At 55.9% G+C, this 14,525-nt stretch overlaps 1 protein-coding gene across 8 annotated transcripts in view, besides 2 other annotated features; it reads left to right on the forward strand.

Annotated features, from left to right (window-relative positions):
• Positions 1-12,702, forward strand: part of PALD1 (phosphatase domain containing paladin 1) — a 109,966-nt gene extending 97,264 nt beyond the window's left edge. For all 8 annotated transcript variants that reach the window (XM_011539638.3, XM_047425057.1, XM_047425055.1 and 5 more), the window contains 2 exons: positions 8,616-8,771; positions 10,833-12,702. In XM_011539638.3, the coding sequence (XP_011537940.1) occupies positions 8,616-8,771; positions 10,833-10,985 (309 nt within the window). In that variant the 3' untranslated portion in view covers positions 10,986-12,702. The remainder of the gene's footprint in view (positions 1-8,615; positions 8,772-10,832) is intronic.
• Positions 3,431-4,374: an enhancer, noted in NCBI's record as "H3K27ac-H3K4me1 hESC enhancer chr10:72318935-72319878 (GRCh37/hg19 assembly coordinates)". NCBI's record gives its function as "activates a minimal SCP1, AML or CMV promoter by ChIP-STARR-seq in naive H9 embryonic stem cells {active_cell/tissue: H9 hESC(naive)}" and the evidence as "EXISTENCE:reporter gene assay evidence [ECO:0000049][PMID:30033119]".
• Positions 4,375-5,318: an enhancer, noted in NCBI's record as "H3K27ac-H3K4me1 hESC enhancer chr10:72319879-72320822 (GRCh37/hg19 assembly coordinates)". NCBI's record gives its function as "activates a minimal SCP1, AML or CMV promoter by ChIP-STARR-seq in primed H9 embryonic stem cells {active_cell/tissue: H9 hESC(primed)}" and the evidence as "EXISTENCE:reporter gene assay evidence [ECO:0000049][PMID:30033119]".
• Positions 12,703-14,525: the final 1,823 nt, after the last annotated feature.

Below are 14,525 nucleotides of genomic sequence, written 5' to 3' on the forward strand. Positions count from 1 at the left end.
CCCAACACCTTGGGAGGCTGAGGCGGGCGGATCACTAGGTCAGGAGATCGAGACCATCCTTGCTAACACGGTGAAACCGCTTCTATACTAAAAATATAAAAAATTAGCCGCGCGAGGTGGCGGTCACCTGTAGTCCCAGCTACTTGGGAGGCTGAGGCAGGAGAATGGCGTGAACCCGGGAGGCGGAGCTTGCAGTGAGCTGAGATCGCACCACTGCACTCCAGCCTGGGTGACAGAGTGAGACTCCATCTCAAAACAAAACAAAACAAAAACCCTGGCTGCCAAAGTTGTTCCCCAGAGACATGGTTCCAATAAGTAATGTGTCTTGGGAGCAGGGCTGGAGCAATTAGGGCAGCCCTGCAGTGCTATGAGCTGTCACATAAAATAGAACCCAAGCAAAGGCTGCTTACTAGGCTCTTTCACTTGAACCCAGCCTAGAACGGCTTCCAGAACGGAGTGTGTGTGTGAGTGTGCATGTGAGTACCCGTGTGCTTTTGTGTGTGTAGGGCACATGTTCTCAGTAGCCGAGACCTCTCTCTCTCTCTCTCTCTCTCTCTCTGTCTCTGTCTCTCTGTCTCTCTTTTTGAGATGGGGTCTTGCTCTGTTGCCCAGGCTGGAGTGCAGTGGTGCAATCATACCTCACTGTAGCCTCAACCTCCTAGGTTCAGGTGATTCTCCTGCCTCGGCCTCCAGAGTAGGCAGCACTACAGAGATGCGCCACCAGGCCTGGCTAATTTTTTTATTTTTCTGTAGAGACAGGGTCTTTGCTGTGGTGCCCAGGCTGGCCTCAAACTACTGGGCTCAAGTCATCCTCTCGCCTCAGCCTCCCAAAGTGCTGGGATTACAGGTGTGAGCCACCATACCTGGCTGCTGAGACCGCTCATCTCTCTTCCTTCCCATTGTAGGGCAAGCTGGTATTTCCATTCTCCAGGAGGACTTTCCTGCTTTATTCAACAACAAACATCCATTGAGCAGCTATGGTTTCTAAGTGTGCACCACTGGGCTTAGAATTGTTGATGGGCTTGAGGGGATTAATCTCAACTCCAGCACCACCGCCTCCTTCACCCCCTGGGTAATCCCGAGACCCTGACTTGGTGCCTGCTGCTCTCATTGTCCCGATTGTGGTTGTTACCAGAGGTCCTTGTTTCTGCTGCAAGATCCACCTCTGAAACCCTGACTCCAGGACCCTGCCTGGCACAAGTAGGGGCTCCACAAATGTCTTTCTAGTGAGTGGATGGAGGGAAGGTTGAGTAAATCATTGCATAAATAAATAGGAAAACCTGACTCTACCTTTATTATTAACTATTAGTCTTCCAGGACAGAGCGTTCTTCTGCAGCAAGCAAAAGAGCCCTGGGTCAGGGGTTGGAAGCCCTGGCTGCAGCCCTGGCTCTGCCAGTAACTCCCTGTGGAACCTTGGGCAAGTCACTTTGGCCTGCTGGACCCCTGTTTTTCCATCTGTCACCTGGAGTTGTTACCCTTGCTCTGTGTGCTTTGAGGGATGGTGGTGAGGACCAGTCTGGGGCCCATGGCAGGTGGGATGGGGTGTGGGGTGTGCAGGGTGGCTGGGCTGCCAGGCAGGCTCTATGGGCTACATGCGGACACAGTGGGCCTCTTGAGGAACGAGACTGTGTCCTCTCAGCATTGAATCTCTGTGCCTGGCCTAGAGGTGCTGCTGAACAGCGTCTGTTGAACTCACAGCATGCAGAGTGGCCCACGGCACCAGGTCAAGTCCCTTCACACTTTGAAATTACTTAACAAAATATGATGTCACCTTTGGAAAATGGGTTACTGGTAGGGATTGAGGGCAATTTTGTCCTTCCAGGGGTTAGGTACAGAAAAGCGTCCTGTACTGGGGCCCCACCGCTGGGCTGGCCTGAGGATGCAGTTTGCAGGGACTCGGTGGGGACCCACCACACGCAGCGGCTGGTGCTGCACGTGGGAAGAGGGTGGGCTGCCAGCCCTGGAACCTGCCCTTCAGCCACTGGCCATCTTTGGGGACTGTCACTTGCCTCCCCACCTCAGCTGGAGGCAGAGGTCACCAGGCCAGGTTTCTTTCTGTTGAGTGGGTGAGCGAGGGGATACTAAGGAGTCTTCAGTAATGGCAGGGGGTGGCAGGGTGGGGAGTGTTGCTGTCTGGCTTGGCTTGATGAAGACCCTGAACCTGGCCTTGTTGGCTCTTCCTTTTTTTTTTTTTTTTTTTTAGAGACAGAGTCTTGCTCTGTCACCCAGGCTGCAGTGCAGTGGCGCAGTCATGGTTCACTGACTGTAACCTCTGCCTCTTGGGCTCAAGTCATCCTCCCACCTCAGCCCCCAGGCCTGAATGACTGGGGCTACAGGCATGTGCCACCACACCTGCCTCTTTTTTGTTGTTGTTTTGGTAGAGACAGGATCTTGCTCTGTTGCCTGGGTTGCTGGCTCTTCTTATTTCTCCTCTGGGGCTGTCTTCTCCTGAGCCTCAGCTGAGTCCAGGTCTTCAAGCATGTGGCCTCCTCGGTGGACAGGAGGCCTGGGTTCCTGCTTGGGCTCTGTTGCCTACTCTCCATGTGACCATGGCAGGTCATTTCACCTCTTTGACCTCAGCCTCCCTTTCTGGAAGGCAAAGGGGTTGGCACAGGCAACCGAGGTGTCCTGTGAAGCTGGAATGAATGAAAATGCAAGGTGCACATGTTTGTCATTCATTGATTTGACAAACGGTTATTACACACCTACTAAGTGCACTGCGCTAGGTGCTGGAGATGCCATACAAAGGGCAAAAGCTCCCGTCCTCATGGAGTCTGCACTCTAGTGACGGAGATCTGCGGCAGGCAGCACACACATCAGGGCCGTGGTCTGTTGGACAGCGGGGTATCCGTTGGGAGAAGCGGAGCCTCTAAGTGTCACATGTTGCAACTATCTGAGGCTGGTATTACACGGGGAGTAAGAAGAATTTTAGCAAATTCTTGTAAGAATTTGCTAAAATTCTTCTTACTAAAGAAGGTACAGAAAGGCACGTTTTAAGAGAAAGTATGTAAAAGGTAAAGAAAGGCAGATTTTTAGAGAAAGTATGAAAATACATTGCAAGGGTGCAGTGGGCAAGTTAGCAAGAGAAGTGCTGGTTGCAAGGAGACAGAGGCTGGCTGGGGATTTTTTAGGACAGTGCTTGTGCTGTTTGCTGAAGAGGGCTTTGTGCAGTACTGATAATGCCGAGGTTGCAGTGAGCTAAGTTGCATTTTTCTATCAGCCGAGGGTCTGGTGATAGCTGGGCACTGGAAGATTGTGTCATTTGCGTAGGAGGGCCGTGTCCCTGGACCATGAAGAAAGGCAGACTTGGAGCTTATCTGCTTTCTCTCTTTGCTTTCTCCTGGTCCCGCCAGCCTTACCCCTTTCCCTAATTAGGACTCCACAGTTATGAGGTGCCGACGGGGCGGTATGAGGGCTTGCAGTGAGGGGTGGTTAGGCAGGGACTCCATGAGAAGGTGGTGTTGAACAGACCTGAAGGAGGAGCTGTGCTGGCATCCGGGGGAAGAATGGTTCAGACAGAGGGTGTGGCTTGCGTGCAGTCCCCGAGGTGGGAGCTGTGTGTTTGAGGAGCAGAGCTAGGGAACTGGAGGGCAGGAGAGGAGGGTAGAGGTTATGGGGACAGGAGGCAGACTGTGGGGCCTTTTCTGGGATTGCTGGGACTTTGGCTTCTACTCTGAGTGCAAAGGAAGAAATCACAGGGTTTTGGGCAGACGCTTACTGTTTGTACAGTCATTTAGGTGCTGTGTTGAGAATAGACAGCAGGGGGCGGGAGAGGTGGCAGGGGGCCAGCCAGGGGCTGTCGCTGAGTCAAGGGTGTCTGGGACCAGGGTGGTGAGAGGCGGTCAGCCTCTGGAGGTGTTTCGAAGTGGAGCCAGTGAGGTTTCCTGACTGACTGGCCGTGGGGTTGAGAAGGGCGAAGTGAAGGAGGAGTCCCGGGTTCTGGCCTGTGTACCTGGGAGGTTGGAGTTGCCACTGAGATGGGCAGGCTTATGGACGCAGCAGGTTTGGGGTGTGCTCAGGAGGTTCACTGGGACATGCTTTGTGGGTTTGGGCTGCCTGACCCTTATCCATGCGGAGCACTTGAGCTGCTGGCATGTCCAGTCTGCAATCCTCAGAGTCTGTCTAGGATCTGGATTCAAGATGATACTAGAAGCTGTGAGCCAGGACAAGAGGGCCTGGGGAGGAGTGCTCACTGAGCGCCTGCCACATACCAAGTTCTCTGCAGACCCCCAGGGCGGTGGGGAGAAGGGGGAGGTGTAAACCTGGTTATTGGCTGGTGCCCGCCCCTGGGTTTATGGTTGTTTTGAGACAGCCCCTGCCTTGATGAAGCAATTAGAATCTGTTAAGATGGAATTTAGTGCAATGTTTAATTGAAAGGTTCAGCCTGAGGGCAGAGGAGGCTAAGAAGGGCAGGGCTGTTGGGCTGGAAGGCCCGGAGCAGGCTTGCACTTTGGGAGAGTGGGGGCTTGTCATAGGCCTGGAGGGAACCCGACCAGGCAGGAGGAACAGCATGGGTGAAGGTACAGAGACAAGAGTGAGCAGGGAGTGGTGGGCTTGACTGTGGCCAAGTGGGGGAGGGTGGTAGGAAGAGCTGGGGTCTTGGGGCTCATCTCCCAGCTCAGAACTCTGAGTTTGGGCAGGATGCCTACTCTTTGAAGGGTTAACTAAGCATGTGCTAAACAAACAAATAAACAAACAAACCAAAAACAACCTTGCTGAACCTCATCTGCAAAATGGGACAGTCCCGCCTCCTTCACTGGGTTGCTAGGAGAATGTGTTAGGGTCTAATCCTCAGGTCAGGATGTGACGCGCTCGGCCCGCAGGTGGCACTCAGTAGACCCTGACGCACGTGTTCTGCTTGTGTGGTAGCCTGGGGAGGCTCCCCAGCCCTGCCTCAGTGGGCCTCTCCCTGGTGGCCCGGCAAAGAGCAGAGCTTCATGAGAGCCCCTGCTGGCACTGCTGGGCTGCCTCGATGCCAGCCAGGCCGGAGGCTTGAGATGCCCGAAGTACCCAGTGCCCCGGCCACCTCTCCTGGCCCTCTTCTATTTTAGGGCTCAGTCCAATGGATGAGGAAGCCTTGTCCGGCTCCACCACAGCTAATGACAGCCTGGCAGGCCGTATATAAACAGCTCCACTATTTTTATCAACAGGAGGTGGCTGACCCGTCCTCCCCAGGCAGTGTGCTAACATGGGGGACGGTGTTAAGGAAACCAGGGCCTTGATAGGAAGATGGGCAATTGTCTCAAATCACAGACCTGTGATCCAGCAAGATGTGCCCTCGGAACCTTCTGGGGGCGGGGGTCAGGCGTCACCTGTACACAGTGGTCTGAATTTGGAGATAATTCTACCTTTGCCAGTAGAGCTCAGAAGGAGCCACTCCACCTCTTACCCCAGAGAATCTTTCTCAGACCTAATCCTTACCCGTGTCTCTTGCAACAGGCAGCCTCCATCCCCACGGCTGTGGGAGAGGATCGTGCTGGTGCGGTCGTGTCCATGGCACAGAGCCAGAGCTGAGGGCGTTTCACGCCCATAGCACATTGCCTCTGAGCTCTTTAATTGAAAGCAGTTTAGAATGGCTCTTGCCCGGTGGAACTGTGGGTGATTTCCTTTTCTTCCTTCTAAGAAAATGTTTTGAAATAGGCTCCAGGCTTTCGGATGGAGCTTGGGGAAGGATAGAAGCAGCCTAAGGGGTGGGGTGGAGAGCGGCCAGTTGCATTGTGGCGCAGACCGTCCATCCTTGCAGATAGGTGGGGTTGCGTTGTATTGGCTGCGGTTTATATTTAGGTAAAATCTTTGTTGTTGTTGTTCACTCCCCAGTCTCTAAGCAAATCCTGCCCCCAGCGGCCCCAGCACTTCTGTGGCAGCCATGGGCCATTCCCGCCCTCAAATCCCCAGAAACCCTCACTGGCCTCTGTCTGCAGGGCCAGGCCTTGGCTTGGCCTCCATACCCACTCCAGGCCTGGCCTCTCACCTTTACCCCTCCCCTACCGCCATGAGCTCCTCCCACTCTGCCCACCCTGGGAGGGGGTTCCCTGGGGACTCACCTCATTCTCGGGCCCCCTTCCTGCCTTTCATGCCCTCCGCCACTCAAGGCACCATTCTGCCTCCTCTCTGTAGACCTCACCCACCCTAGATGTCCCCTCTTCCTTGAGCCTGCAGCTGCTGTGGCTGCTTTGAAATTATTTCCATCCCCCTCCAGGCACGGAGGGCAGGGCCTGTGAGTAGTTCATCTTTGCATCCCCAGTATGTGGCTTGGGTGATGGGCACGGTGTAGTGGTCCCTCCCTGCTGGATGGATGAGCGGATTAGTGAGCTTTCTGTGGTGCACACGTGCCTTCTCATCCCTCACTTTGCTGAGAAATCCTACTTCCATAAACCTGGGGCCTGTGAGTTTAAATGGCAGAACCAGGACCTGAACCCAGCTCATGGGACTCATGTCTCCCAGGGAGTCACAGTGCTGGCTCTGGTCCCCTCGCCCCTCTTGGGCACAGCCTGCTGTCCACCTTTCACCCCTGTCCCCATCTCCAGGGCCCCAGAGCTCCTTCTGGATGGATGGGTGGGCAGGCTTTGCAAGTTACCATCTACTCTGCGACCCTGGAGGCAAAGACAGCAAAGGCCGTGGAGGTAGAAGTGGGAGGTTGGGGACCACAGGCCCTGCTCAGGCTACTCCAGCTCTGATTCCTGGGACTGTGGACTGTGCCACGTCTGAGGCCGCAGAGCCCACCCTGGGGCTAAGGAGGAGATGCATGTAGGCTGATGTTGTGTTCCTGTGCGGAAGGGCTTCCAGCTGCAGCCCAGCTGTGAGGAGAGCAGCCCTTTCCGGCTCCCAGAGGCTGGGGCTTGCTGTGCCCTCGCACAGATGTTCCTGGTGCCCGAGGGATGACCCCTGTGCCACGTCCTCTTCCTGGAGCAGGGAGAGCTGCTGTGGGTTTGGGGGATGGGGTGAGAAGGGGATGGGTGTGAGGCGAGGTGTGGCCTTCGCTTTCCAAACTCCCCTTCCATAGCGTGCAGGGGAGGGTGCTGGGTGGGTGACATGTCTGTGAGGGGTGGAAGGAGCAGGGTGGGCAGGGTGCCCTGTAGGAGAGCCTGGCTGTGCATGTCCTGGGCCTTATCCCCTGGCCTGTGGCCTGTCCCCTGACTCCCCAAATCATGGAGAACCTAGAAGGGACCCTCTTTAAGTTCCCTTCCTCCTGAGCACAAATCTCCCATACATCTTCTGTTAACAAGTCACTCATACTCTCAAACCCTCAGTGGCTCCCCAGTACTGAAGCCATAACGTGTAACCTTAGCTATAGAGAGTCACCCAGAGGGATTTTGACAATCCCGATGCCCAGGCTACACCCTGCTGAGATTCTCATTGGATTTTTCTAAGTGGGGCCCAGGCATCTGCATTTTAAAGTTCCTCATGTTTCTCATGGACAGCAAGGTTGTGAACCGCTGACCTGGGATAAACTTTCTAGGTGACAGGTGGCTTCCATAATAGATCCAGCCCAGCTCCCCGTCTTGTCCCTCCTCATCCTCCCTCCAGCCAGGCCAGCCCCTCTCAGCCCCCAAACTCCAGGCAGCAGCCTCACCTCTGTTTCCCCCATCTGGTCCACGTTCTGTCTGTGCAAATCCACCAGGCCTCCACGGCCCAGCGGCACTCCCACACTCTCTGGGAAATCTCTCTTTAATTGGCTTTGCTGTCCCTCTCCGCCCCAGCACGTGGCCTGGTGCCATTTCCCATGAAGATGCTCAGGCTTGCTTGCTTAAAAGATCGATGCCCCACAGCCTCCCCTGCACCCACACATCCTCTCCCAACCCCTCTCCTGAGCCACTTCCTCTCTTGCTGCTCCTTGGCCAGGTGGCCTTTCTCTGTTACCTGTCCCCAGCCTTGGAGAGGGTGAGGGCTGGGGGATCTGAGGGCTTTATGTGTACCCCTTTCACTTTTGGAAGTCACTTAGGGACCTTTGGGCTCAGAGGCCAAGATGGGGTTTCTCCCCTTCAAGGCTGGAGGATGAACTCACCCACCCAGTAGGCCCAGTGTAGGGGTGGATTGAGGGGAGGAGATTGATGTGCGTCCACACGGCAGAGCCTCGAGAATGTAGCCTTGATGACCCCTGCCATCGGCGCCTCCCAGGCCACTGGTCAGAGCCCTCATACCCTCGCCGAGGGAGGCCTGAGGGGCAGCAGAGAGAGGAGTGAAGCCTTTCCTCTGATCCTTGGAGGATTGGGGGTTGGCAGGAAGTGGCAGTAAGGGTCCTCCCACCCTGGGCATCGGTCCTGCCGTGTGGGAGGGCCTCAGCATACCTCAGGCGCCATGCAGGGTATCTACAATGAGCTCTCCTGCTGTCCCTGTTCACCCCTCAGAACAGGACAGTGGTTATGATTCCATGGCGAGGAGAGGGATGCTCAGGGAGGCCAGGAGGCTTGCCATGCCTCTCAGGTAGGAAGTGGGCTCCTGACCCGCGGCCCTGGCTTGCTCCATTGCTTGTCCTGTAACCCAGGTGGAAGCAACGCCCTCAGCTCTGAGGCTGGATCACCCTGCCCTGGCACTCAGGGCAGCAGGGTGGCATGTTTGTGTGTTGGGGGACACGGATCCCCCCACACTGACCCCACCCTGTCCTGTCCTCCAGGCGAAGGCAGCGAAAGAGGCGCAAGAAATGCGGAGGCTGCAGCTGCGGAGCCTGCAGTACTTGGAGCGCTATGTCTGCCTGATTCTCTTCAACGCGTACCTCCACCTGGAGAAGGCCGACTCCTGGCAGAGGCCCTTCAGCACCTGGATGCAGGAGGTGAGGGGAGGCTGAGGCCGAGAGGGGCCGGGGCGATGGCTCCTGCAGATGGAGCTGGGTCACAGCCACTCAGTGCCTGTACATGGCCTGCGGGGACCCCGTGACAGGCGGGAAGAGCCCCCATCCCCCTTTCTGCAGGAGGCTTCTGTTTGGCCAAGAGTTTGTCTAATCTGACTTTGGGTCCCGAGCAGTTTGTCTGTGCCTGGCAGGCAGTTGATGAGTTTGATGAATGAACAAATGAATGAGGAGGAGGGAGGGGACAGAGTGGTGAGGGACAGAGCAGGGCAGCCTCTGGGGGTGGGACCCTGTCACCACAGCCACCCTTGCGTGCATGACAGCTCTGGGCCCACCTGGGCACTTCATGCCCACAATTGTGGTCAGCCCTCACCTGTGCTCCGCGAGGGCCTAGGGTGAGGCTGTAGTGGCCCTGCCCCTTTCTCCCTCCAGCCGTGACCTTGGACCAGTGAGCCAACTCCTCCACAGCTGCTGGCCTTAGCACTAACATGGAGGTGATGTGGATCCTGTGGGTGCCAGCCCTGAAGGCTGCGTTGGGGACTTGGGGAGACATACAGTGCCATCTGCTGGAGCCTGTACTAGGCAGGTCTAGCACACTGTGATTGTCGCTCTCCCATTTTACAGAGGCAGAGACTGAGCACAGAGAGGGTGGGTGACTTGTTCAAGGTTGGCATTAGGGCTGATTGATTGGCTCCAGAGCCCACTGTATCCTGACCTAAGACACCTCCCTTGCTGTCCGGCCTCCTGGATCCTCTCTGTTTGGCCTCCTGGCTCTTCTTGCACTCAGTTGTTTTAGAGGCAGAGCTGCCACCTTGGCACCTCTAGGTCAGAAGAGAGGCCTCCTTCCCTCCTTGGCAAAGCGGCCTGTAATTACTCCTCTGCCAGGAAGCTGGCCCCTCCAGACCTCACCAGCAGATCCTGGCAGTTCTAATCTGGACTGGAGGCTGGAATTAGCTCCTGGGAAGTGGGTGGGTGGAGAGCAGGGGCCGGTGACCTGGCCAGAGTGGGCACAGGAAGGGTATGGGGGCTGAGGCAGGTGTGAAGTGGACTCAGGGCTATGAAGGAGTGGAGGCAGAGTGGCAGGCTTTGAGGGTGGGCCTTGGGACGTCAGGTGGAGAAGCATTTGAAATGCCCCCGGTGCATGTGATGTGTGTTGAGTCGGGAGACCTGATGGGGTCACACCAAGGCCATGTCGGGGTGCCTTCTTGAGCAGGCCTGGGCTCAGCTTCCTCTGCGAGCCCCTGGGGAGGGGTGGAGGTGGAAGGGGATGAGGACACTTCCTGCTTGGGTTCTGCTTGGAGAGCAGAAGTTGGGGGAGCCTGGGGCCGAGAGGAAGCTTGATCCCCTCCCCAGCTGAATCCCCCACTGGGGCTGGGGGAGGTCAAGAAAGGAGGGCTGCCGGTCCAGGCAGAAGTGTGGGTTCCAGCCTCGGGACCTCAGCCCCTCTCTCCTGCGGATGAGTGGAGGGTAGCAGTGAGGGAGGCCCCAGAGCGGGACGGACCCATTCCTTTGTTCTAAGTGGAGGCTGCACCCTCCCCTTCCCCAGGATGGTGGAGAGAGAAGGGGACTGGTTGTGGATGGTTTGAGTCTGGTGCCAGGGTCTGGGCTGCTGGGCGGCAGGGCTGAGTGTCCAGGGGTGCCTCCAGCTAGCCCACCTGGGGCAGAGGCCATAGCCTTACCTGCCCCTGCATCCACGTTCTTCCTCCAGCCCTCCCTTTAGGCCCTGCTCCTGGGCGTCCACGTGGGAGCATCGAGCTGCACAGGGCCCAGTGTGTGCCTGGCCTCCCTCGCTGCTATCTGTGTGGAGCACTCACTGTCTGCCCAGTACTTTCTGTATGTGTAGAGTCCTCCTTGAGACAGTCCTGTGAGGTAGAGTCTTTTCCTTGCTATGAGGAAACTGACGCTCAGAGAAGTTAACAGAAGTCAAGGTGCAAACTTGTTCAGGTCACCAAGTTCACAGGCCACAGACTCATCTTCAGAACTCAGTGGCCTTAGTGGCACCCTCCCTCCCCTGAAACACTGCTCCTGCCTCTGCTCTCCTCCCAGGTGGCATCGAAGGCTGGCATCTACGAGATCCTTAACGAGCTGGGCTTCCCCGAGCTGGAGAGCGGGGAGGACCAGCCCTTCTCCAGGCTGCGCTACCGGTGGCAGGAGCAGAGCTGCAGCCTCGAGCCCTCTGCCCCCGAGGACTTGCTGTAGGGGGCCTTACTCCCTGTCCCCCCACCCACAGGGCCCCACGCAGGCCTGGGGTGTCTGAGGTGCTCTTGGCTGGGAGCGGCCCTGAGGGGTGCTGGCCTTGAAATGATTCCCCCACTTCCTGGAGAGACTGAGCGGAGTTGGGAGCCTTTTTAGAAAGAACTTTTTATAGGACAGGGAGACAGCACAGCCATCCCTTGCAAACCACCAAGGTGTGTGGCTGACCTCCAGGGAGGAGCACTCACTGGAGTGCTCACAAGGTGCACACTGCTGTGTGTACCTTGCAGACAGGCCGGCGTTCAGCCTCCAAGGGGCTCACTCCCCCAGTTGCCAAACACTGTGGATCTCTCTGTCCTCTTCTCCCCTCTCTCAGATTGGCCTGGCAGCCCCTGGCACAGAGCAGACCCGGCCACTGGTAGCTCCCCACTTCCTTACTCCTGCTGCTCTGCCATTGCCGCTCCCCTTGTTGCTGCCCAAGCACTGCCCTCGGGCGTCTGGCAGCCTGAGGTGGGTGGAGGGGACAGTGTTCTGGATAGATCTATTATGTGAAAGGCAGCTTCACCCAGTTTTCTGGACTCTCATGCCCCCATCTCCGACCTGGGAGACTTCAGGAATGACAACCTACCCAGCCTGGTGGGGCTGGCAGGATGGTGGAGGTTTCTCAAGGAGCTGGAGACTTCAGGGAGCCCCTCTCATGGGGAGGAAAGAGCTTCCAGGGGGCGAACGCAGCACAGAGGAAGAGGCCTGCTCCACTTGTCTGGGAACCTGGGCAGGAGGCACAGAGGAAGCCAAGGCCTGGAGCTGCAGGTCCCCCGGCATCTCTCTCTGTCCCGGCAGCCCAGGATGGCCTGGTGCCCCCACCTGCTGCAGCAGGAGCCCCAAGGAGTGCTAGCTGAGGGTGGTTGCTGGGGTGGTCCTCATGGACAGTGAGGTGTGCAAGGGTGCACTGAGGGTGGTGGGAGGGGATCACCTGGGTTCCAGGCCATCCTTGCTGAGCATCTTTGAGCCTGCCTTCCGGTGGGAGCAGAAAAGGCCAGACCCTGCTGAGTTAGAGGCTGCTGGGATCCACTGTTTCCACACAGCGGGAAGGCTGCTGGGAACAGGTGGCAGAGAAGTGCCATGTTTGCGTTGAGCCTTGCAGCTCTTCCAGCTGGGGACTGGTGCTTGCTGAAACCCAGGAGCTGAACAGTGAGGAGGCTGTCCACCTTGCTTGGCTCACTGGGACCAGGAAAGCCTGTCTTTGGTTAGGCTCGTGTACTTCTGCAGGAAAAAAAAAAAAGGATGTGTCATTGGTCATGATATTTGAAAAGGGGAGGAGGCCGAAGTTGTTCCCATTTATCCAGTATTGGAAAATATTTGACCCCCTTGGCTGAATTCTTTTGCAGAACTACTGTGTGTCTGTTCACTACCTTTTCAGGTTTATTGTTTTTATTTTTGCATGAATTAAGACGTTTTAATTTCTTTGCAGACAAGGTCTAGATGCGGAGTCAGAGATGGGACTGAATGGGGAGGGATCCTTTGTGTTCTCATGGTTGGCTCTGACTTTCAGCTGTGTTGGGACCACTGGCTGATCACATCACCTCTCTGCCTCAGTTTCCCCATCTGTAAAATGGGAGAATAATACTTGCCTACCTACCTCACAGGGGTGTTGTGAGGATTCATTTGTGATTTTTTTTTTTTTTGTACAGAGCTTTTAAGCATTAAAAACAGCTAAATGTGAGTGCACCTGGCTGCTAATATGTCTTTAGTGTCAGACAGACGTTCTAGAACTGGTACAACAGGCTGAGGTCCCTGCCCCTTCAGAGTAAGGGTGGGCAGGCAGAGTGAGTTGAGAGCACCTGTTCTTGGCACTTCCAGCTCTAGAGCAGGCGGGTTTTTGCAGACACGCATCCCCAGTTTTGCCTCACCCTCTTACACTGGATGTCAGGCTGAGCTCCTCCTTGAAGAAAGCAACGGAACCAGCGAATTCTCACTAACATATGAAGGATTGCTGCATCTAGGGAAACAGTATAGAGCAAAGTGGAATTGGGGGCCTGTGAAGGAGCCTGGATCTCAGCCTCCACTTTCTCCCCTAACCCCTGTGGGCCCCACCTGACCCCTTTGGGCCTCTGGTTGATTGAACACACCTCACCCCTGGTTGAGTGCTGGCATTTAAAGAGTCAGTGGGGAGGGTGGGGTAGAGACAGCACTGACTCCAGGCCTCTTCCCCCATGCTTGCAGGGTTAGGGGAACAAGGTTGTAGTTCCGAGGTCAGCTGGGGTGGGCAGAATGGAACCCAGAGCCCCCACCGCCCCTAGGGTTGGTGTTCTCCCCAGACTAGGAGAGAAGGCCCCGGGGGTTCTTTCCCAGCCCAGCAGGGTATGGAAGTTGTCTTCTCTAGGTGCAAGAATGCTCTGTGTGGCTTCTGGACACCAGTGTAGAGCTGTGTACACCGGGGTGGGGTGGAGGGGGGTGGGGGTGGGGGTGGCTCTGCCATTCTCTCCCTGGGATGTGGGGACACACAGGAGTGAGTGGGTGTGCCTGTGTGTGTTCCCAAGTTCCCCTGGGCCTGCTGTAGCCTGTGGGAGGACGCTTAGCAATGACATGAATGGCACTGACCCACATTTCAGTAGCTCCTGCTGGTCAGCAGCATCTCAGCCCTCATGGTAAATGAGTGAACCCAGCACAGCAAAGGAGCAATCAGCAGAGTTAGGGAGCCTACCGAATAGGAGACGGCATTTGCAAACCATCCATCTGATAAGGGGTTAGTATCCCAAATCCATAGGAAACCCAAACAATACAATAGTAAAAAGCAAGTAACTCAAAAGAACACACACAAATGACCCACAGGCATATGAAAGAAATGTCCGGTATCACTAATCACCAGGGAAAGGCAATGGAAACCACCTCACACCTGTTAGGATGGCTGCAGGAAGAGACAGAAGAGAAGTGCTGGCGAGGATGTGGAGACAGGAAACCCTCGCACCCTGTTGGTGGTATTGTCGGTTAGTATACACGTTCTGGAAAACACTGGGGTGGGGGGTCCTCAGAAAACCAAAAATAGGACTGTGTATGATCCAGCCATCCCACTCCTGGGTACACATGCAAAGGAAATGGAATCCGTGTGTCAGAGAGGTGTCTGCACCCCATGTTCACTGCAGCATTATTCACAGTAGCCAAGACATGGGATCAGTGTGTTCATCAGTGGATGAATGGATAAAGAAAATGTGGTCTGTATACAATGGGATACTATTCAGCCTTTAAAAAGGAAATCCTGGCCAGGCGCAATGGCTCACGCCTGTAATCCCAGCACTTTGGGAGGCCGAGGTGAGTGGATCACTTGAGGTCAGGAGTTCGAGACCAGCCTGCTCAACATGGTGAAACCTGAAACCCCGTCTCTACTTAAAATACAAAAATTAGCCAGATATGGTGGTAGGTGCCTGTAATCCCAGCTACTTGGGAGGCTGAGGCAGGAGAATCACTTGAACCTGGGATGTGGAGGTTGCAGTGAGCTGAGATCACGCCACTGCACTCCAGCCTGGGCCATGGAGCAAAACTCCATCT

This window comes from Homo sapiens, chromosome 10 (genome assembly GCF_000001405.40).
Source record: "Homo sapiens chromosome 10, GRCh38.p14 Primary Assembly".
In the NCBI taxonomy this organism is placed as follows: domain Eukaryota; kingdom Metazoa; phylum Chordata; class Mammalia; order Primates; family Hominidae; genus Homo; species Homo sapiens.